The following is a 21,834-nucleotide window of genomic DNA, read 5'->3' as shown; positions in this document are numbered from 1 at the left end:
AGGAATAAAATTCTAAAGGAAATCTCTCTTCCTCCCAGATAAGGGCTGGTCTACCATCATTTTTGGCCTAAAGCAGGCTCTACAAACTCAAAGGCTTATTAGGAGGAGCCAGGGTTACAATGGGAGTGGTGGGGACTCTGGCAAACTGAACAGAGCACGCTCATCTAAAGGGCACATATGCTACCCAGCCAAATGCTGCCATCTAGAACTGTAGACTCAGTGTAGTCAGATTACCTAATTTCAAGAGAAGCCAGAAATACAGATTTTTACATTAAATATTCTTGATTTAAACAAAAATTCCCAAAAATATCATATGGGAAAAAAGAAAACCAAAAACCCTTTGCAGCCATAATTTAGCCAGTGGGACCACCAGCTTTTAGCCTGTAGCTTACAGAGATCCCTCAGTAATGTTTGATCTAAAAAGGCTAATTCTAGGTAACCAAAGTTTCACAGAAGGTGGAATGTCTCCTTACAAATTCAATATGCATCTTAGAAGCCTCTAGGCTCCTATACAATTTCACATGTCTCACTATTGAGTCCCAGGCATCTACAAATCTGGCTAAAATATTTGTCCCGCAGCTATAGGAATCCCAGCATTCATACAAACCACACCTCTGCCGCATGGCTAGGTATCGGAGGTCCAGGCACCCCCTAACAACGAGGCCATAATCCTGCAGAAGCTTGCTGGCATCTTCTGAGCATCCCACTCCAACTTTCAAAATGGTGCCATCTGCCAAAATATCCAATAACGTTCTTGGTAGTGTTTTTCCTCCACAGATTAGCTTGGGCAGGCGAACCAAGACACACAGGCCACTTGGGGAGGCCATTTGTAGAAGTGACAGAGGGCTGGCTTTGCCTTCCAAATTTACCTGCAACAGAGGAAGACAAGGTTGTGGTTCACACCTGAGCACAGCAGCGAGCATAACATATAACTGTGACAAAAAAGTCTAAGAGGTACATCCTTAACTTCCCAAAGGTAGCATCTGACCAGGTTTTGGTTTGCATCTACAGATAAGTCTACAGTAACAAATGCAATGGACTTTGTGAAGCAGTGACCTAAACAAAGGTTACCGAGAACCCCAAACGCCAAGGTCTGAAATATAAGTCCATAAACAGCGACCAGCCGACACAGGGGAGCTCTGGGACATACACTGGCAGTCATATGGAACATGCTGGTTTTAAAAGGCTAAGGAGGCTGGGCACGGTAGCTCATGCCTGTAATCCCAGCACTTTGGGAGGCCAAGGCGGGCGGATCACCTGAGGTCAGGAGTTCAAGACAAGCTTGGCCAACATGGTGAAACCCCGTCTCTACCAAAATTATAAAAATTAGCTGGGCATGGTGGCATGTGCCTGTAATCCCAGCTACATGGGAGCCTGAGGCAGGAGAATTGCTTGAACCCGGGAGGCAGAGGTTGCAGTGAGCCGAGATTGCGCCACTGCACTCCAGCCTGAACGACAAGAGTGAAACTCTGTCTCAAAAAAAAAAAAAAAAAAAAAAAGGCTAAGGAAAAAAGGCCCAGGAGTAGAGTGAGAAATGATAAACATCCTCTTTTCATTATCCAGCCTCTCTAATGTACACGCAGGTAACTCTAGTCATTTACCTTATCATCACTGACTCAAGATCCAATTTTTAAAAAGAGGTAGAAGATAGAGTACTGTAAATAAGTGGTACCTGATAATATAATAAATCCAGGTAGCACCAAGTGCTTTCTCAGCATTTTCTAGTCACAAATGGCTTTCATAAAAAGAAAAAAAAATGTATATTGAGCATAAGTTAGGGCCTTTAAATCTTAAAAGATACAAAAAACTTTATACAATAAGTGATCGAGGTTTAATCTTTTTTCTTTTTTTTAGATGGAGTCTGGGTCTGTCGCCCAGGCTTGAGTGCAGTGGCTCAATCTTGGCTCACTGCAACCTCCGCCTCCCGAGTTCAAGCTATTCTCCTGCCTCAGCCTCCCGAGTAGCTGGGGTTACAGGCACGCCCAGCTAATTTTTGTATTTTTTGTAGAGATGAAGTTTCACCATGTCACCCTGGTCTCGAACTCCTGACCTCAAGTGATCCTTCTGCCTCGGCCTTCCAGAGTGCTGGGATTACAGGCATGAGCCACTGCGCCTGGCTGAGGTTTAATCTTTTTGGGGTCATAGATAAGTTTGAAAAAATGCTGAAAGCTAAGGATGTTATTCCTAGAAAAATGTACATACAAAACTCACATACATTTTCAAGGGATTAAAATTTCCCTAAAGCTATCCATAGAACCCAGATTAAACACCCAATAAATTCTAATCCTTCTCACTTGTCAGGAGAGGAATATAGGTGAATCAGTTTGACCAAGTATGGTGAGATCATGGCAAAGCTAGGGCTATCACACTATCACCTAAATTTCCCAGTCCCTAGAATAGTAGTTCTCAACTGAGGGTAATTTTGTACCCCAAGAGACATTTGGCAATATCTGGAAAAATTTTTGGTTGTCACAAGTGGGGAGGAAGTACATAGGCATCTAGTAAGTAAAGGCCAGAAGGCTGCTAAACATCCTACAATGTACAAAAAAGAATCATCTGCCCAAAATGTCAATAGCGGGGAGGCTGAGAAACTCTGCTCTAGGGCAATGTGGTCCTCTTGCTACTGTACTAGCTGCCTGCTGGGCCTGCAGTGCCACAGTTGCATACAAAGTAATGGAAGAGAGCGTGCTGATTTAAGGAATTTATAATCTTACAGGAGGAGTAGGAGGGATACACATAAACACAAGCTCACACACACAGAAAATGACATGGTAAATGCCAAAGGAATGTTTCAAGCAAAGTGTCACAATTAATCAGAGGAGGTACATTGCATAATTGAAGTGACCAAAATCACACAGAGGAAATAGTCAAGATCACAAAAGAACTGCTGTTAAAAAAAAAAAAAAAAAAACTGGGAGGGCTCTGGCCCTCAACTTTTTTTCCAAGTCTCGCTCTGTTGCCTAGGCTGGAGTACAGTAGTGCAATCTCAGCTCACTGCAACCTCTCCCTCCCGGGTTCAAGCGATTCTCCTGCCTCAGCCTCCCGAGTAGCTGGGATTATAGGCGCCTGCCACCACACCCAGCTAATTTTTGTATTTTTAGTAGAGACAGGGTTTCACCATGTTGGCCAGGCTGGTCTCAAACTCCTGACCTCAAATGATCCGCCCATCTCAGCCTCCCAAAGTGCTGTGATTACAGGCGTGAGATACCATGCCCGGCCCTCTAGCCCTCAACTTCTTTTCTAAGGCGGAGTAAAACCATGATCTAACTCACAAAAGACTTACGCTTCCTTCTTAGGCACTGCTTTATCAGTGAGAGCTATTTTCGTATCCTCACACGAAAGCATGCCAGTTTGATCTCATTGTCTATTTCTTGAGGCTCAGCCAAGGTTACAAAGACCTGTGAGAAACACGACTACTGGGGTTCCAGTTCTCTAATAATTCATCCGGATGTGACCAAATCACTTTTTTAAAAATTAATGAGTAGTTCTTTCCCTCTGTGATATCAGCTTTCTCCAAGAAAAAGCTATAAATCTCTACTTCTAATAGCTAGTACTGCTAATTTGACATAAAACTCACTACAAATTCCTAAGGTTCAATATTTGTACCTCTTTACAGTCAGGTCTCATTGTCTACCATACATTAATTTCCTTGTTAATACAGTGGTGAGTAAAAAGAAAAGATAAAATACATTAAATAAATAACTAGATAAATAGACAGATAGGTAAATTGAGTTGTCTTTAATGTTTCTGGATTGTGCTTAAGATCCAATATACTATAATCAAAGTTTTCTCACTAGGAATCCAAATGTTTATGATTCCACTAGGTACATAACTTATATTGAATATATAATTGGAAGAATAATGTTTCTAGGAGAGTCAATTTAGCTTAAAGAATAAGATATCTAGTCTCTATTTCTCATATTTCCCCCTTTTTGCTTTCTAATGTCTTTTTGCCCTGACATCACTACTCATGGGAAACAAGAAACCCTTGGCTTATCAACATTATTAAAAAGTGACACGTTTTAATTTCATTAGCATTATTTAAACCAGTGGTCTTATTAGCATTATTTAATCTAGGGTTTTTAAAATTAGTCAACATATATGAAAATGTTTGAGACATATACTATATATATTTATAAATTACGCACATATAATACTGTATTAATGTGTTATATATACACAAAAGTACAAAGTTTAACTGAACAATAACAACAATCATTACAGATACAATTTCTAACACTCTGCTGTTCCAGTGATTCATTTAGAGAACAATGGGTTAGAGTCCTCCTTCCACGAGCCAGGGGATAATCCATTTTGGCTTCAGTATTCTTAAAAGAAAAAAACCAACAAAACAGTATTCATAAAAAATAGTTTCTGGAATGGCCTGTGATTCTTTAAATGACTTCATGAAGGCTACAGAGAGTAAAGAATGACATGGGACCATCTTCTGGGCTGGAACAGGTTAACTAATGAGCACCCCTAGTCTGTGGAGTTTATGTATCAGTTAAATTTAGACCAGGGTTTTGAGATAGGAATGAGTTTACCCTGTTCAGGCAACAGAACTAAGGCCCAATGTGGCTAGACGCCGATAAGAGTAGGATGAAAAGAGAGTAGGAGGAGACAAAATCAGAGATGCTGAAAGAAGCTACAGCAAGTAAGACCTTAAGAGCATGTAGGTAATTGAGACATCTGCGTTTTATTCTTTTTTTTTGAGACGGAGTCTCTGTTGCCAGGCTGGAGTGCAGTGGTGTGATCTCGGCTCACTGCAACCTCTGCCTCCCGGGTTCAAGTGATTCTCCTGCCTCAGCCTCCTGAGTAGCTGGGACTTCAGGTGCCCGCTACCACACCCAGCTAATTTTTGTATTTTTAGTAGAGACAGGGTTTCACCATGTTGGCCAGGATGGTCTCGATCTCTTGACATCATGATCCACCCGCCTCGGCCTCCCAACATGCTTGGATTACAGGCATGAGCCACTGCACCTGGCCATCTGCATTTTACTCTAAGCAATGGAAGGGTTTTGGGCAGAGGACTGACACAATCTAATTTGCATTTAAAAAAAATATTTTGGTGACTGCATGGAGAAAGGATTGTACATGCACAAGAGTCAAAGCAGGGAGGCCAGTCAAGGGAAGATTTGCAATAGTCCAGGTGAGAGATACTTGAAGCTTGGACTCAGGAGGTAGTAGGGGTGTGATATAGTTTGGATCTGTGTCCCCACCCAAATCTCATGTTGAATTCTAATCCCCAATGTTGGAGGTAGAGCCTGGTGGGAGATGACTGGATCATGAGATGGAGTTCTTATACATGGTTTAGCACCCTTCCCCCTTGTTACTGTATACTGAGTGAGTTCTCACAAGATATGGTTGTTTAAAAATGTGTGGTGGCTGAGTATGGTGGCTCATACCTGTAATCCCAGCACTTTGGGAGGCCAAGGTGGGCGGATCGCTTAAGTCCAGGAGTTTGATACCAGCCTGGGCAACATGGGGATGGGTATGGTGGTGTGCACCTGTAGTCCCAGCTACTCCAGAGGCCGAGGTGGGAGGATCACTTAAGCCTGGGAGGTGGAGAGTGCAGTGAGCCAAGACTGCGCCACTGCACTCCAACCTAGGTGACAGAGTAAAACCCTGTCTCAAAAAAAAAAAAGTGTGTGGCACCTCCCCGCCGTCTTGGTGCTGCTCCTGCCATGTAAGATGCCTGTTCCCGCTTTGCCTTCCACCATGAGTAAAAGCTCCTGGAGGCCTCACCAGAAGCAGATGTGGCCATGCTTCCTGCACAGCCAATTAAACTCCTTTTCTTTATAAATTACCCAGTCTCAGCTATTTCTTTATAGCAGGGCAAGAATGGACTAATACACTGGGTCTACAGGATGATGGTTTTGGGAAAATCACCTTGCTCAGCCTTTATTGCACCAATTATTTGTACCTGTTATGCAAGGAAATATGTAGCCAGAGTCTCCAGAAAGGACCAGGCAGGAGTCAGGGGATCAAAAAGGTATTTAATGTCTCCACCTGCCTCAGGAGAAGGGCAATAATAGCTCCTAAAACATGGCAGAATATTCATTTTGTACAGGTGATTTATCCACAGTTATACCTCATTATAGGTAACTCAAAGAAACCTATACCTCTTTGTGATAGCATGCTGTTATTTCCTGCTTTGTATAACCACTTCTTTGGATTTGCATATATTTTGCCATTAAAGAAATTTAACATATACTGTCTGTTTATTTCTGCCTTTCAATCATATCACCATCCTGTTGGACAACCCTCTGAGAGAAGAATGTCTCACTGATTTTAATCTTAAATGTGGGGAAGACTAGGGATAACAAGTTTGGGAAGAAAAATCAAGAATGAATTCTGTTAGGAACATGTTAAGTTTGAGATGACTATTAGACATTCAAGGAGAGATGTCAAGTAGGCAGGTGAATATGAAAGGCTGGCATTCTGAATTTGAGAGTAATCACCATATCAATGGTATTTAAAGCCATACAATTAGATGGGAATACAGGAAAAGAATGGAAATTAGAAGACATAAATTAGTGGCCCACGGATCCATCTGCTGACTCACAGACATGCTTTTATTATAATATTATTTTTGGTCTCCACGTATTTAAAAACTTACGCCAGAATTTTTAAATTAGTAGAGTTCACATTTTAAAGAATCCATACTCCAAGTTTCTTTTTAAAGAACTGGGCAATCCAGTAACAGTTGGTTTGAACTATATGGCAGCTTTTTCATTTATATGAGGCATGAATTCTCTAATTCACCATATGTCTTTTCAACTGAAGCCAAATGTTGTCTTCACTTACCATCATATTTGTACACCACTATTTTTCTAATACAAAGAAATATTTCTCAGGATCCATGTTGCTAGTAAAACTACAAAAATGAAAGATAGACCCTAGAGGCCTTATGTTTAAAGAAAACATGAAAGGTAATACATTTCCTTACGAATTTAAGAACATTCCTATGTATTAAAAAAAAGCAAACAATCACTCTATATCATTCATTTACAGAACGTGCTTGACTCTTGTAGGCATCTCAGTTTGCAATATCTGGGGTGGATACAGAAGAGACCAAGCCTGACCCATTTCAATATTTAGATATCAGGTAAAACAGGAATCAGAAAAGGAAAAAGTAGAAAGGATAATAAGATAGGAGATAGAAGAATGTGAGTGTGATGCTTTTGAGAGCAAGAATAACGAGTCCAAATAAGTGTCCACTGGACTAGAAAACAAGAAAGCCATCAACTTGACCAGTTTCAGTGGAGTAATATGGAAAGATGTCAGATTAAAGTTGGTTGAAGAATAATGAAGAATAAGAAATTATATCCAAGAGAACAGAAGGAAAGAAACAATAGACATAAGAGTAGAAATCAATTAAACACAAATATAAAGAAGATCAACAAAGCAAAAAGTTGGTTATTTGAAAAGACTAATAAAATTAATAAACCCATGGAAGGAATTATGAAGAAAAAAGAAGCACAAGTAAGCAAAGTCAGGAATGAAAAAAGAGACATTCCTAGTTATCTACCAAATGGGGTAAAATTTTTCAGAGGATATCATAAACAAATATATGCCAATAATTTTTTTTTTTTTTTGAGATAGAGTCTCACCCTACCACCTAGGTGGAGTGCAATGGCACGATCTTGGCTCACTGCAACCTCCACCTCCCAGGTTCAAGCGATTCTCCTGCCTCAGCCTCCCGAGTAGCTGGGATTACAGGTGCGCACCACCACGCCTGGCTAATTTTTTTTTTTTTTTTTTTTTTTTTTTTTAGTAGAGACAGGGTTTCACCATGTTGGCCAGGCTGGTCTTGAACTCCTGACCTTGTGATCCACCTGCCTTGGCCTCCCAAAGTGCTGGGATTATAGGCATGAGCCACCTCACCCAGCCAGCCAATAATTTTTTTTGGAGGGGGAGACAGGGTCTCGCTTTGCTGCCCAGGCTGTAGTGCAGTGGCATGATCATAGCTCACTGCAGCCTTGAACTCCTGGGCCCAAGCCATCCTACCACCTTAGCCTCCTGAGTATCTGGGACTAAAGACTCACACCACCATGCCAGGCTAATTTTTTAATTTTTTTGTAAAGACAGATTCTCATTGTGTTGACCAGGCTGGTCTCATACTCCTTGCCTGAAGTGTGATCCTCCTGCCTCAGCCTCCCATAGTGGTGGGATTACAGGCATGAGCCACTACACTTGGTTTATGCCAATAATTAAAAAATTTTAAAGATAACATATTTAGATGATAAATGAAATATATAACTTATCAAAACTGAGACATTAAGAAATAGAAAATATTAATAGCTCTATAACTATTCAAGAAATTGTATCCATAATTCAAAAACTTCCCTTAAAGGAGAACTCCAGATGGCTTCACCAGTAGATTCTAACTAAACATTTTAAGTAAAAAAGAATGACAATCTTATACAAACTCTTCCAGAGAACATAAAAATAGGAAACACCCCTAACCTGTTGTATGAAGCTAGCATAACTTTTTTAAATCAAAGCCTGACAACGGCCAAGCACAGTGGCTCACACCTGTAATCCCAGCACTTTGGGAGGCTGAGGCAGAAGGACTGCTTGAGCTCAGGAGTTTGACACCAGCCTGGACAACATGGCAAGACTCCCATCTCCACAAAAAAATTAAAAGATTAGCCAGGCATGGTGGTATGCACCTGTAGTCCCAGCTACCTGGGAGGCTGAGGTGGGAGGATTGCTTGAGCCCAGGAATTTGAGGCTGCAGTGAGCTATGACTGAGACACTGCACTCCAACCTGGGCAAAAGGACAACTCTATCTCTTATTGATTGATTGACTTAGAAAGAGTTTCACTCTTGTTGACCAGGCTGGAGTGCAGTGGCACAATCTTGGTTCACTGCAACCTCTGCCTTCCGGTTTCAAGCGATTCTCCTGCCTCAGCCTTCCCAGTAGCTGGGATTACAGGCACCCACAACCAAGCCCGGCTAATTTTTGTATTTTTAGAAGAGACGGGGTTTCACCATGTTGGCCAGGCTGGTCTCGAACTCCTGACTTCATGATCCGCCCACCTCGGCCTCCCAAAGTGCTGGGATTACCGGAGTGAGCCACTGCACCCGGCCCAACTCTGTCTCTTTAAAAAAAAAAAAAAAATGCCCAGCACGGTGGCTCACACTTGTAATCCCAGCACTTTGGGAGGCTGAGGTGGGCGGATCACGAGGTCAGGAGATCGAGACCACAGTGAAACCCCGTCTCTACTAAAAATACAAAAAATTAGCCGGGCATGGTGGCGGGCGCCTGTAGTCCCAGCTACTCGGGAGGCTGAGGCAGGAGTATGGCGTGAACCCGGGAGGTGGAGCTTGAAGTGAGCCAAGATCATGCCACTGTACTCCAGCCTGGGTGACAGAGCGAGACTCTGTCTCAAAAAAAAAAAAAAAAAAAAAAAAAAAAAAAAAAACAGAGAGACAAAACACTTGCTGAGAGAGATGGTGTCTGAGACTGGCATTCAAACAGGAGCAAGAGTTGCCCAGGTGCAGGCGCCAGACAGGAGGAGGGCATTTATCCCAGGAATTCAAAAATCAATGTATTTCAACACAATAACAGCATAAAGAGAGAAGATATATAATTATCTCAACAAATGCAGAAAACATTTGATTAAATTCACCAACCATTCATGATTTAAAAAAAAAACTCTTAGCAAACCAAGAATAGAAATGAACAGATTTAATCTGATAAAGGGATCTACAAACCTACTGCAGATATTATACTTCAAGGTGAAATGTTAAAAGCTGTCATTTTGAGATAGGGCATAAGTCAAGGATGTCCACTATCACCACATCTACTGAACACTGTACTGTGATCCTAGCCAGGTACACCAAGGCAAGAAAAGAAAGAAAAAATGACAAGGACGGGAAAGAAATAAAATGGTCATTTTCAAAGATAATAGTCTATATAGAAATCCAAAAGAATCTACAAGTAATTAGAACAAGTGAGTTTAGAAAGATTCCTTAATACAAGAGAAATATGTAAAACTCAGTTGCATTTTTCCATGTACCAGAAACAGAAAAATGTTTAAAATCTCCATTTATACTTAAATTTAAAAATCACAGAAAACTATAAATACATTATTAAAAGAAACTAAAGGTCTAAACAAACACTTAGATTCAAAAACTCAATATTGTGGTCTAACAATTCCACTACTGGATATATACCCAAGTGAAATAAAATTAGTATGTCAAAGAGATAGCTGCACACCCATGTTTACTGCAGCACCATTCATAATAGCCAAGATATAGAATCAACCTAAGTGTTCATCAACAGAAGAATGGATAAAGAAAATGTGACTCAGGATATAAAATCAATGTGCAAAAATCAAAGCATTTTTATACACCAATAACAGACAAACAGAGAGCCAAATCATGAGTGAACTCCCATTCACAATTGCTTCAAAGAGAATAAAATACCTAGGAATCCAACTTACAAGGGATGTGAAGGACCTCTTCAAGGAGAACTACAAACCACTGCTCAATGAAATAAAACAGGACACAAACAAATGGAAGAATATTCCATGCTCATGGATAGGAAGAATCAATATCGTGAAAATGGCCATACTGCCCAAGGTAATTTATAGATTCAATGCCATCCTTATCAAGCTACCAATGACTTTCTTCACAGAATTGGAAAAAACTACTTTAAAGTTCATATGTAACCAAAAAACAGCCTGCATTGCCAAGACAATCCTAAGCCAAAAGAACAAAGCTGGAGACATCATGCTACCTGACTTCAAACTATACTACAAGGCTACAGTAACCAAAGCAGCATGGTACTGGTACCAAAACAGAGATATAGACCACTGGAACGGAACAGAGCGCTCAAAAATAATACCACACATCTACAACCATCTGATCTTTGACAAACCTGAAAAAAACAAGAAATGGGGAAAGGATTCCCTATTTAATAAATGGTGCTGGGAAAACTGGCTAGCATATCTAGAAAGCTGAAACTGGATCCCTTCCTTACACCTTATACAAAAATTAATTCAAGATGGATTAAAGACTTAAATGTTAGACCTAAAACCATAAACCTTGTCCATGCCAGGACATAGGCATGGGCAAGGACTTCATGTCTAAAACACCAAAAGCAATGGCAACAAAGACAAAATTGACAAATGGGATCTAATTAAACTAAAGAGCTTCTGCACAGCAAAAGAAACTACCATCAGAGTGAACAGGCAACCTACAGAATGGGAGAAAATTTTTGCAATCTACTCATCTGATAAAGGGCTAATATCCAGAATCAACAAAGAACTCAAACAAATTTACAAGAAAAAAACTCCATCAAAAAGTGGGCAAAGGATATGAACAGACACTACTCAAAAGAAGACATTTATGCAGCCAAAAGACACATGAAAAAATGTTCATCATCACGGGCCATCAGAGAAATGCAAATCAAAACCACAATGAGATACCATCTCACACCAGTTAGAATGGCGATCATTAAAAAGTCAGGAAACAACAGGTGCTGGAGAGGATGTGGAGAAATAGGAACACTTTTACACTGTTGGTGGGACTGTAAACTAGTTCAACCATTGTAGAAGACAGTGTGGCGATTCCTCAAGGATCCAGAATTAGAAATACCATTTGACTCAGCCATCCCATTACTGGGTATATACCCAAAGGATTATAAATCATGCTGCTATAAAGACACATGCACACGTATGTTTATTGTGGCACTATTCACAACAGCAAAGACTTGGAACCAAATGTCCATCAATGATAGACTGGATTAAGAAAATGTGGCACATATACACCATGGAATACTATGCAGCCATAAAAAAGGATGAGTTCATGTCCTTTGTAGGGACATAGATGAAGTTGGAAACCATCATTCTCAGCAAACTATCGCAAGGACAAAAAACCAAACACCGCATGTTCTCACTCATAGGTGGGAATTGAACAATGAGAACACTTGGTCACAGGAAGGGGAACATCACACACTGGGGCCTGTCATGGAGTGGGGGGAGGGGGAAGGGATAGCATTAGGAGATATACCTAATGTAAATGACGAGTTAATGGGTGCAGCACACCAACATGGCACAAGTATACATATGTAACAAACCTGCATGTTGTGTACATGTACCCTATAACTTAAAGTATAATAAAAAAAAAAGAAAATGTGATATATAAATCTCTCCCTCCAAAATGGAATATTATTTGTCCATAAAAAATAATGAAATCTTGTCATTTGTGACAACATGGCTAAACCTGGAAGACATTATGTTAAGTGAAATAAGCCAGGCACAGAAAGATAAATACTGCATGAGCCCACTCATATGTGGAATCTAAAAAAGTTGACCTTGGTGGGCATAGTAGCTCCCTCCCATAATCCCAGCTACTCGGGAGGCTGAGGTGGAAGGATCACTTGAGGCCAGAAATTCAAGACCAGCCTAAGAATCACAGTGAGACTTCATCTCTAAAAAATAAAAATAAAAATTAGCCAGTTGTGGTAGTGTGTGCCTATAGTCCTAGCTACTTGGGAGGGTAAGGCAGGAGGACTGATTGAGCCTAGGACCTCAAGGCTGTAGTGAGTTATGATCACGCCACTGCACTCTAGCCTGGGTAACAGAGCGAGAACATGTCTCTAAAAAATAAAAGAGTTGATCTCATAGAAGTAGAGAGTAGAATAGTGTTTACCACAGGCCAGGATGGTTGGGAGGAGAGGAGGATGAGAAAATGTTGATCAAAGAATATATAATTACAGTTACATAGGAGGGATGAGTTCAAGACATCTAGTGTACAGCATGGTGACTATAGTTAATGATGATATATTGTATTACTAAAATGCAAAGATAGTGTATGTTAAGTGTTCTCATCATTAAAAATGATAACTATGTGAAGTAATGCACTTGTTAATTAGCTAGATTTAATTATCCCGCAATGTATATATGCATAAAACATTATACATAATATATATAATTTCATGTCAATTTTTTAAAACCCTTCAATAATATAAAGAAGTCAGTTCCCTACAAACTGATCTATACAATACAATCTCAATCAAAATTTCAAGAAAATTTTATAGGACCTGAAAATTGATTCTAAAACGTATAAGAAAATGTAAGCCAGGTGTGGTAGCAGGCACCTATTGTCCCAGCTACTCGGGTGGCTGAGGCAGGAGAATGGCTTGAACCCAGGAGGTGGAGGCTGCAGTGAGCCGAGATCATGCCACTGCACTCCAGTCTGAGTGACAGAGTGAGACTCCATCACAAAAAAGAAAATGTAGAGTATCAAGATTATCCAAGATATTGTGGAAAAAGAACAAGATGGCAGGTCTTGCTGCCCCAGATATCCAGAGTTATTTTAAAGCAATGGTAAATAAGAAAGTATATAATAATTGGTGCAACAACAGAAAATTAGACAATCAAGAAGACAAAAACAGATCTAGACACATACAGACACTTGTTTTGTGATAAAGTGGCATTGCAGAGCAATCAGGAAAGGTTTATCTGTTCAATCTGTGATTCTAGGCAGATTGACTATCCCTTTAGGAGAAAAAATTAAACTTAACCCTACCACACATCATATACAAACACACCTAAAAAATCAATTTCAGGTGGATTGTAAATCTGAATCGCCAAGGTTAAAACCATAAAACTCCAAGAAAATGACATGGGGAGAATATGTTCATGACTGTGTATAGGGAAAGACTTGATCAACTGTACTACACAGATCTTCTGTTTATCAAAATTAAACATCAAAAGAATGTAAAGGCAATTCACAGAATGGGAGAAAACATTCACAACACAAATTTAACTCCCGGAGGGTTCATATGCAGAATATGTAAAGAACTTCTATAAAGACAACTCGATAGAAAATGAGGCAAAAAAAAAAAAGAAAATGAGGCAAGAGACTTGAATGGACACTGCATAAAAGAGGATATCTAAATGACCATTAAAATACAAAAAGATGTTCAATTTCATTAGTAATCTGGAATATGCAAATTAAAATAATAGTGAACTATTACTACAAGCCCAACAGAATGGATAAAATTTTAAAATATGACAGTACCAAATGTGGACAAGGATGTAAAACAAAGGCAATTTTCATATATAGGGAGGTTAAATTAGTGTAATCACTTCTGAAAACAGCTAGAAACAATGGAATCAGTCATATGCTACGGATGGGAAGGTAAATTCATAAAAAGATCTTGGTAAACAGTTTGGCATCATCTATAAAAGTTAAAATTGTGCGTGCATGTGCACACAAACTCCTTGACCCAGAACTCCACTCATAGACACATACGCCCAATAATGAGTGTAAATGTTCAATTGCACCATTCTTTGCAAGAGCCCCCAAATGTAAATGATATATTGTATTATACACACACACACACACACACACACACACACACACATATATTTTTGAGATGGAGTCTCGCTGTGTCACCCAGGCTGGAGTGCAGTGGCACACTCTCAGCTCACTGCAACCTCTGCCTCCTGGGTTCCAGCAATTCTTCTGCCTCAGCCTCCCAAGTAACTGGGATTATACCTGTATGCATCACCACACCTGGCTAATTTTTGTATTTTTAGTAGAGACGGGGTTTCACCATGTTGGCCAGGCTGGTCTTGAACTCCTGACCTCAGGTTCAGGTGATCCACCCACCTTGGCCTCCCAAAGTGCTGAGATTACAGGTGTTAGCCACCACGCCCGGACTATACTGTATTTTATATATATATATAAATGTCCATCAATAATAGAATGGAAAAATAAGTCATGGTATATTTATACCATGGAACACTATATGGCAACAAATCATAGTCACACCCAACACAGGTAAATCTCACAATGTTTGGAAAAAGAAGCAAGACAAAAAAGAGCACATACTCGATGATTCATTTATACTAAATTTAAAAAACAGGTAAAATTAAACTATAGTGATGAGGGAGGCATGCCTAAGCAGTAAAAGTATAAAGAAAACAAGAAAGTAAATAGACTTTCTTGAGACAGGATAATGGTAACCCTCAGAGGGCAGTGAGGGGACAATGATTTCAAGTGGACACAACAGGAGCTCCTGGAGTCCTAGCAATCTTACGTTTCTTGACCTAGTTTCTAGTTACACAGCTGAGCTGTTCTCTTTACATAAATCATTCAGTGTTTATTTTTGTTCCAGGCACTTTTCTTGATGTGTTATATTTCACAATAAAAAAGTCTAAAAAAAGACTCAGGGGCAGGTTAAACAGATTAGACAAAGCCAAATAAAGAAAAAGGGAATTGTAAAAGAGACCAGAAGAAATCGTATATAATGAATCTAGAGAGACTAAGATATGTTAAATATTAAATTCCAGCAAGAAAGAAGAAAGGATAAAGACAATCTTTAAAGAGAAATTTTAAATTGATAAAACATCAATCCTATTATCCAGATATTTTTCTGAATCCCAAGCTAGAAATAAAACACCTAGACTCATCATAGTGAACCTTCAGAACCATAAACTCAAAGAGAAGATCTTAAGAAGAGATATGAAAAAATTACATTACTTACAAAGAATCAAGGTATAGACTGACAGTTATCTTCAACAGCAATAACGGAAGCCAGAAGGCAATGGAATACTATCCTGAAAATGATAAACTGCCAAACCAGAACTTTACACCCAGAGAAAATCTCTTTAAGATTAAAATCAAAATACAGACATTTTCAAAATGATGAAGTTTATTATCAATGGGCCCTAAACTGTTAAAGAACGATTTTAAGGAAAATGATCCCCAAAAGAAGGTCAGAGATATAAGAAAAATGTAAGCAAAGAAAAAGGTAAATACAAGGTCAGGAGATCGAGACCACCCTGGCTAACACAGTGAAACCCTGTCTCTACTAAAAATAGAAAAAATTAGACGGGCATTGTGGCACACACCTGTACTCCCAGCTACTCAGGAGGCTGAGGCAGGAGAATCACTTGAACCCGGGAGGCAAAGGTTGCAGTGAGTCAAGATTGCACTAATGTACTCCAGCCTTGGAGACTCTGTCTCAAAAAAAAAACAAAAAAAAAGGTAAATACAGCTGGATGCAGTGGCTTATGCTTGTAGGAGGACCAAGTGAGAGGATCACTTGAGGCCAGGAGTTGAAGACCAGCCAGGGCAACACAACAAGACCCCATTTCTACAAAAAAAAAAAAAAAAAAAATTATCCAGGTGCAGTGGCACATGCCTGTAGTCCCAGTTACTCAGGAGGCTGAGGCAGGAGGATCACTTGAGCCCAGGAGTTTGAGGCTGCAGTGAGCCATGCTCACACAACTGCACAACAAAGCAAGACCTCATCTCTTAAAAAAAAAAAAAAAAAAAAAAAAAGGGCCCAGCATGGTAGCTCACACACACCTGTAACCCCAGCACATTTTGGGAGGCCAAGGCAGGAGGATCACTTGAGCCTAGGAGTTTGGGACCAGCCTGGGCAACACAGCAAAATCCTGTCTCTGTGAAAAAGAGATGGCATGTGGTGGCTCACACCTGTAATCCCAGCTACTCAGGAGGGAGGATTACTTGGGCCTGGGAGGTTAAGGCTGCAGTTAGCTGTGATCGCACAACTGCATTCCAGCCTGGGCAAAAGAGCAAGACCCCATCTACAAAAAAAAAAAAAAAAGAAAAGAAGAAGAATACAGGAAGGTAAACACTTTGGTAAATCTAAACAAATATTGACTATAAAACAACAACATAGGCCAGGCACGGTTGCTCACGCCTGTAATCTCAGCACTTTGTGGGACTGAGGCGAATGGATTGCTTGAGTCCAAGAGTTTGAAACCAGCCCGGACCACACCGCAAAACCCCGTCTCTACTAAAAATACAAAAAAATTAGCCAGGTGTGGTGGCGCACACCTGTAGTTCCAGCTACTCAGGAGGCTGAGGTGAGACAATCATCTGAGCCCAGGGAGGTCAAGGCTAAAGTGAGCCAAAATCCCACCACTGCACTCCAGCCTGGGTGACAGAGTAAGATCTTGTCTCAAAAAAAAAAAAAAAAAAAAAAAAAATCAAGAACCATTGGAACCAAGTGACAGTGGTGGCACATACCTGTAGTCCTAGCTACATGGGAGGCTGAGACAGAAGGATCATTTTAGCCCATGAGTTCGAGGTTCAGTGAACTATGATAAGTACCACTGCATTCCAGCCTGGGAAACAGAGTGACACCACCCTGTCTCTAAAAAAAAAAAACAATAAAGAAGAACAAAAATAATAATCGAATAAACATTTACATAAAAGTGAATGAAAAGGAAAGCAAAACAGGAATGGAGGAATAAATAGAGCAAGAATGGATGATTTTTCATTTCTGTCTTCGTTTTTTCTTTTTTTGAGACAGGGTCTCACTTGCTCTGTCGCTCAGGTTGGAATGCAGTGGCGTGATCTCGGCTCACTGCAACCTCCACCTCCTGGGCTCAAGCAATTCTCCTGCCTCAGCCTCCCAAGTAGCTAGGATTACAGGCGCCTGCTACCACGCCTGGCTAATTTTTGTATTTTTAGTAGAGGGGAGGATTTCACCATGCTTGCCAGGCTGGTCTCGAACTCCTGACCTCAAGTGATCTGCCCGCCTCGGCCTCCCAAAGTGCTAGGATTACAGGCGTGGGCTACCGCGCCCAGCCTATTTTTGTTTTCTATTCATCTCTTAAATTTATTCTATCTTATTTTTACAAGGAAGGAAGCCATGAATGACTTTTTCATTGAGTTTTTTATGACAGCAATCAGGAAAATGCAGTCATGCCTAAAGGGAAATGTGGAATCCAACCTGAGTTTAATACACATCAAAAGTCAAAATGAGGTGGGGTTAGATTATTTGCCACTTTAACTTTTCTATGCCTCTGCTATAGTAATTAAAGTGTATTATTATCAGATCAATTACTATTCACTTCAGTCTACCCTGCTGTTGCTCAAGTTATCCTTCGTTTAGTTGGAATAATCCAGGTGCTTGGCACAGGTGAATTTTCCTAATCTGCTAGAGCTTACCACTTAAACCCTATTTTCTTCTATTGTTGCTGATGTAAATAGTTCTAAAATGATGTAACTTTTTACACAGAATAGATTAAAATCACTGATCCTTTCTTGATGGCCCAAGGTCATTGGTATAAACGACTACTACTATTGCTGATATAAAGAAACACCCTCAGTAGCTGTGGTGTAAGGGCTTTTGTGACTACAAAGATTTCCCCACACTGTCAGGTGTTCTCTTTTTGGTCATCACAGTGTTGGCATCTAGTAGCCTCTTCTATCAACCTGTGAACTGATTTTGTGGAGCCATTCTGCTTAGGGACTCTTTTAATTACATTTCCTGGATACAGCAAGAGAAATAGCATTAGGGGTGGAACCTGAAGATGTTATTAAACTGCTGCAATCTCATGATAAAACTTTAACAGATGAAGAGTTGCTTTTTATGGATGAGCAAAGAAAGTGGTTTCTTGAGATGGAATCTACTCCTGGTAAAGATGCTGTGAACACTGTTGAAATGACAACAAAAGATTTAGAATATTGCATAAACTTAGTTGATAAAGCAATGGCAGGGTTTCAGAGGACTGACTCCAATTTTGAAAGAAGTTCTACTGTGGGTAAAATGCTATTAAACAGCACCACATAGTAGAGAAAAATCTCTCATGAAAGGAAGAGTCAACCAATGTGGCAAACTTCTTTGTTGTCTTATTTTAAGAAACTGTCACAGGAACTCCAACCTTCAGCAACCACTACCCTGATCAGTCAGCAGCCATCAATATCAAGGCAAGACCCTCCACCAGCAAAAAGATTACAACTTGCTGAAGGCTTAGATAATTATTAGCAATTTCTAGCAATAAACTAATTAATGTACTTTTTAAAGATATAATGTTATTGCATACTTAATAAACTATAGTATAGTATAAACACAACATTTTTTTTTCCCCGAGACAGGATCTCCCTCTGCCACTCAGGCTGAAGTGCAGTGGTGTGTTCATAGCTCACGACAGCTTCAACCTCCTGGGCTCAAGCAATCCTCCTGCCTCAGCCTCCCAAGTTGCTGGGACTACAGGTGGGTGTCACCACACCTGGCTAATTTCTCTTTTTGTAGAGATGGAGTCTCGCTATGCTGACCTGGCTGACTGGTATTAAACTCCCCGCCTCAACTGATTTTCCCCACCTTAGCCTACCAAAGTGCTGGGATTACAGTCATGAGCCACCGCCACACTCAGCATAAGCATAACTTTTATATGCACTGGGAAACCAAAAAACTCATGTAACTCACTTTTTTGCAAGATTTGCTTTATTGCCATGGTCTAACATCGAACCTACAATATCTCCAAGTTATGCCCATATGGTGAAAATTAGATGATGCAAGCAAAACATATAGTACATGGCTTAGAGTAAATGATGTTTCAAATGTTAACTGTTATCTTTTAAAATCCTAAGTAATAATTTCCATTTAAATAGAATTCCTTAGCTATTTTCTCCACGGCATCCTTATGAAAATGCTACTACAAATATTAACAGTGGCTAATATTTCATGAACACTTACTACTATATGTTCACACTGTGCTGAATCCTTTATGGGGGTGATCTATTTGAATCCTTAGAAAAGCCACTGGAGGTAGGTACCATGACGTTCCTATTACAAACAACCAAACAAACAAAGACTTAGAGAGGCTAAATAGCTTGTCCAAGTTCACGGAATGATAAGTGGGGAAAATACAATTCATATAGGTTTGACATAATTGTAATCCATAATTGTAAGCACTCCGCCATCCTGAGAGGAACAGCAGCTTCTTCTTCTGCTAAAATCTGCTTATAAGCAAGTTGAGAACAAGCTAATTCATTCTCCTTTAACCTTATTTTCTACTTGACTGTCCAAGGTCCCAGTTGGAAAAGCAGAAGTTGTTTTTTTTTTTTTTTTTTAACTTTTGCTTTTTAACTTACCCACTCACAGTCAATTCCAAGTACTGGAAAATCTTCTAATTCACTTCTAAGCAAGGGCTCGATTTGATCCCACTCTGCCTCCTGAGACACCGTCACCACCTTTGCTTTAAGGATCCGTTCCTTCCACGAGGATCTGGGGGCACTGGAGTGCAGCTGATCATCTTCTGGAGGGGGCAGCTCTCTACTGCCCAGCACTTTCTGCTGTGGCTGTTGGGTCACAGGACTCGTTTTACTCCTTCGGCGGCGCTGGATGCCTTTCCAGAGGACAAACCCCCCTACAGCCACACCCAGAAGGGTAGTCACTGTCAAAGCCACTAAGTTCTGTCTAGACATCTTCGACTTTTCTACTCTTTAGAAAAGCATATCACTAATCCCACAATCTGCAAAACAAATGGCAAAAATATATTTATATACAGAATATAAACCTTTACATAAACAAGTTTTCCTCTAAAAAATGCCCCATTTATAATCTCTGTGCCCACAAACTAAAACAACTGCTATAAATTTCCATGTGAAATAGTAGCAATGGTTTAATTTCTTCATCTTTATAATCTCTGTATTCCATCTCTATCTCCATCCTCACCCCAGGAAATCTCCCTGCCCTCTGACAGTTCCCCATGGCTCTCTTAATGATATAAAATCATATCAGTCAAAACAACAGGCTATGTACACAATGAAGTGTGATCTAGGAAGAAAAAAAAACAATAAGCTAGACTCTCACCTCTAACTGCTGATTAATGAATGAATTTTTTAGTTAATGGATCTTCTTCAAAGTATTTTGTATTTTAAACCTTTGATCACCTAACAGTTGAAGGAAAACTGCTTCTCAATTTAAAAAAAATTGTAATCATCAGTCAGTTGGTAGGGAGACTTTTTTTACTTCTCTGGAAGGTGCGGCAGTGAGGGAGTGGAGGAAACAGGTTTGACTCAACACTTTCTGTTGCTCCAGAAGGCTCAGCAGTTCTCCATAGAAACTGATACGGTTATTGTAGGGTAAGCCAGCGGGGGTACAAAAGAGAAAGGATCAGAAAAGCAAAAGAAAAAGGTAGAACTTAGAGAGATATACAAGATGCATAGAAGGCGGATGCAAACTGAAGTGTCCACAGCGCCAGGCAGGTTAATGTAAATCAATGAAGCAAGCCACAAAATAGTTCCTTTTTCATTTTTCTGTAACATGTGGCTTTCTCCATGTAGTTTCTGTTTTCCTATATGTGAGAAAGAAATGAGTATACAGCACTATTTCTGTTCTATTAAAATAACAGTAAAAGTGCAACAGTAAATAGTAAGTGGCCTGGGCCGGGCGCGGTGGCTCATGCCTGTAATCCCAGCACTTTGGGAGGCCGAGGCAGGTGGATCACGAGGTCAGGAGATCGAGACCATCCCGGCTAACACAGTGAAACCCCGTCTCTACTAAAAAGACAAGAAATTAGCCAGGCGTGGTGGCGGGCGCCTGTTGCCGCAGCTACTTGGGAGGCTGAGGCAGGAGAATGGTATGAACCCGGGAGGCGGAGCTTGCAGTGAGCCGAGATCGTGCCACTGCACTCCAGTCTGGGTGACAGAGTGAGACTCCGTCTCAAAAAAAAAAAAAAAAAATAGTAAGTGGCCTGGCCAGGTGCAGTGGCTCATGCCTGTAATCCCAGGACTTTGGGAGGCCAAGGCAGGTGGATCACCTGAGGTCAGGAGTTCGTTCCAGCCTGGCTAACATGGTGAAACCCCATCTCTACTAAAAACACAAAAATTAGCCAGGCGTGGTGGTGGGCACCTGTAATCCCAGCTACTCAGGAGGCTGAGGCAGGAGAATAGCTGGAACTTGGGAGGTGGAGGTTTCAGTCAGCCGAAACTGAGCCACTGCACTCCAGCCTGGGTGATAAGAGTAAGACTCTGTCTCAAAAAAGAAAAAAAAAAAAAAAGTAAATGGCCTTTGGTCTCAGGGCCAGGGAGAAAACATGGAGC

General features: G+C 40.4%; 1 protein-coding gene and 1 long non-coding RNA gene across 13 annotated transcripts in view; one reads left to right on the top strand and one right to left on the bottom strand.

Annotated features, from left to right (window-relative positions):
• Window positions 1-21,834, top strand: part of GALNT16-AS1 (GALNT16 and EXD2 antisense RNA 1) — a 77,510-nt gene that overhangs the window by 30,843 nt on the left and 24,833 nt on the right. The gene's annotated exons all lie outside the window — the stretch shown is intronic.
• The window catches only part of EXD2 (exonuclease 3'-5' domain containing 2), a 52,521-nt gene that overhangs the window by 14,334 nt on the left and 16,353 nt on the right, over window positions 1-21,834 (bottom strand). For 4 of the 10 annotated variants that reach the window (NM_001193360.2, NM_001193361.2, NM_001193362.2 and 1 more), the window contains 2 exons: window positions 19,882-20,261; window positions 613-869 (listed from right to left, as the gene is read on the bottom strand). In NM_001193360.2, the coding sequence (NP_001180289.1) occupies window positions 613-869; window positions 19,882-20,214 (590 nt within the window). In that variant the 5' untranslated portion in view covers window positions 20,215-20,261. Of the gene's footprint in view, window positions 1-612; window positions 870-15,511; window positions 15,557-19,483; window positions 19,574-19,881; window positions 20,262-21,834 lie in introns of those variants that run through there. The other 6 variants (XM_017021421.3, NM_018199.4, XM_011536908.4 and 3 more) reach the window with 3 other exon arrangements.

This window comes from Homo sapiens, chromosome 14 (genome assembly GCF_000001405.40).
Source record: "Homo sapiens chromosome 14, GRCh38.p14 Primary Assembly".
NCBI classification, from domain to species: domain Eukaryota; kingdom Metazoa; phylum Chordata; class Mammalia; order Primates; family Hominidae; genus Homo; species Homo sapiens.
Note: the sequence above shows the minus strand (reverse complement) of the source record. Positions and strands in the feature narration are given on the sequence as shown.